The following is a 2,957-nucleotide window of genomic DNA, read 5'->3' as shown; positions in this document are numbered from 1 at the left end:
TAGGCAACTGGTAAAGAGGGTACATATAGTCAAACTCATCATATGAAGTGAATTTTAACCTCATAGAATAAATGGTTGTAACTTAGTATACCTTTGTAGTGTTTTGTTAAGGGAAAACTGAAATCCTATCTCACTCATAATAATAAATACAGATGCCATAATCCTTAAAAATATTAGCAACTGGAATGTAGCAGTGTTTTTAAAATAAAATTTTAAATATTTAAAAATATTTAATACACCATGACAAAATTGAGACTATAAAAGGAATGCAAGAGTATTGTAACATTTGAAAGTTATAAATGCCACTGCCACATTAATAGCCTAGGAAAAAAATAATACAATCATCTCATAGTTACAAAAAAAAGATTTTCTAAAATTCAATATATTTCATAACAATACAGCAAGCCTTAAATGTAATAAATAATATATTTTAAAAATTAATAGCAAACATAATTGAGAATCTTAGAAAATAATTTATTTGAAAACATGGAATATAACACAGTTGATATTATTACAGGTTCTAGTCTACATCGTACTCAAGTTCCAGCCAAAGGAGTATAAGAAAGAAAATAAATCAAAAGCAAATAATCATAGGGAGAGAAATAAAACTAACATTCTAACTGGAAAATTCAAAAGATGTATAGACTCATTATTTGAATAATGAGAATTTATCAATGTGATTAGTTATAAGAAGTATTACATAAAAATCAGTTGCAATTTCATATTGCAAGAACAAGGTGTGAATTTTAAAATGTACCTTTTTAAAAAAATCTATAGATATTATTTGACAGATATGAATAAATATAAAAGTAAACATAAGTAAAATATTAAACAGCAAAGATATTTACAAAGTTCTAAAACTGGGAAGTTTAGCTCATATTCTTAGAAAATAGGATTTTAGTATTGTAAATATATTAGTTATTTTCAAATTGATTAAAGGATTCAACATAATTTTAAGAAAGATTTAGTAGTATTTTTAACAAAACTTTAGTAAATGGATTTTCAAATTTATATGGAAGAGAAGTTTCTAGAAAAGCAAAATTACTTACAATTTTTTTGAGAATTTTGTATATGAAGCTATAGTAAATCAAAGAGTGTTGTACTGAAACTGAGATGAACAAGTTAACCAACTAGGTGTAGAGAAAATATGAAACTAGGATATGATTGTACGGGATTGTTTGACTAAGGCAAATTGGTAGAGAAACTAGGGATTATTTGCCAAATGATCCTGGGACAATACCTTACATATATAATACATTTAAAAAATAGTAAAACAAATTAGTTCCCTAAAATGGCTCAAATGTACATATCAATTCCAGATGGATTAAGAACTTAAATTTGAAAAAGTGAAACTTGAAAAGTTCTAGAAGAATATATAGGAGAATATGAGGATAGCTTCTAACTTTGTAGTAGAGAATTTCTCACATAAGATAAAAAATGCAGACTTTACAAAAAGTATGGATACATTTTATTACCTTAAAATTAAGAAGTGTTAATTAAGATTTACAAATTAGAGATGAAAGTCACAGGAGAGTTGACAAGGGTTTAGTATAAAATATATAAAGAGCTACTATATATCATTTAGAAAAGAAAAAAATTAAATTAAAACCAATAAAATTAATGCAGACATTTTACAATGGAGCAAATATGTATAACCAACCAATATGCTTTTAAAAAGATTTATTAATAATCAGAAGAATAAACATGTATAAATTATGCCGAATGGATGCATTATTAATAACAAGAAAAACAAAAACATATAAATTATGCTCAGTAGATTGCCAAAAATCATATAGTTTGATAATAGAAAGTTAGTGAGAGGATTTTCATTCACTGGAGCTTCTGCATATTGATTTATAAAATTGGTGCAACCATTTTAATAATACTACTGTAAATTCAAGTACTTACATAGCCCTTTTGCAGAAATGTTGTCACTTGACTTTCACTCCCCATAATGCACTATAGCACCAATATTTGCAAGAGCCAAACATTGGAAACAACCCCAGTGTTCATCATTTCAAATCAACAAGCTAATAGGTATTAATTCACATATGTCTGTTAAAATAAACTGCAGCTGCATGCGAAAGCATGGGTGTATATAGGGAACTCTATAATGTATAAGTGTGTGTGTGTGTGTGTGTGTGTGTGTATGGTATCTGTTATATATAAAAATATATATGGTAAATAAGCATATATAGTAGACATGTATAATAGCATAAGTATACAGTATGCGAGTATATATATATTGTATAAGAATATATATGGCATATAGTATGTAAGGCATATAAGAACACTATAGTATGAAACCATTTTTATTCAAAATCTAAGACAATAGCATGTTGTTTAGACACATTAACATGTTTTATATATTATAAGTAATAAAAAATTAAGTAAAGTAATAATAAACAATACAAAACTCTAGACAGTGGGTACATAGGAAGATGCAAATTATTGATAATGTCTAGTGGGTCCCCATATGCTCATTTTACTAAACATACCTACATAAATATTTGCTTAAATTATACAAGTCTAAATATGTATATGTTCAAATTATATGTATTTGTATATCTTACATAATTATATATCATAAAATTACATATCCTTTTGAAATATTCAAATAAATATAATAAATAATTTTTAAAATTGTTACTCATTTTATAAAACAATATGTTCACTGTTATTAATTAAACAATAAAGATTATCTATTTAAATAATTTACCCAAAGAGTATATTTGTCCAATATTTTCCAAAACCACATCTGATGTTACCAGTGATAACACTCTTGACTGCCTCCTTGACTCTTTTTTTGTTAAACAAAGATAAAAAATATGATCTTATTTTTAAAAGCAAGAATATAACTTTACTACATGTGTAATATACGGACTTCAAGCTTCAGTGTTGGGCAGAGATGCACACAATCAGCTCTGCAATGATAATAACATAGTATAAAAAATTTT

Source organism: Homo sapiens, chromosome 2, assembly GCF_000001405.40.
Source record: "Homo sapiens chromosome 2, GRCh38.p14 Primary Assembly".
In the NCBI taxonomy this organism is placed as follows: Eukaryota; Metazoa; Chordata; class Mammalia; order Primates; family Hominidae; genus Homo; species Homo sapiens.
This window is presented reverse-complemented; position numbering follows the sequence as displayed.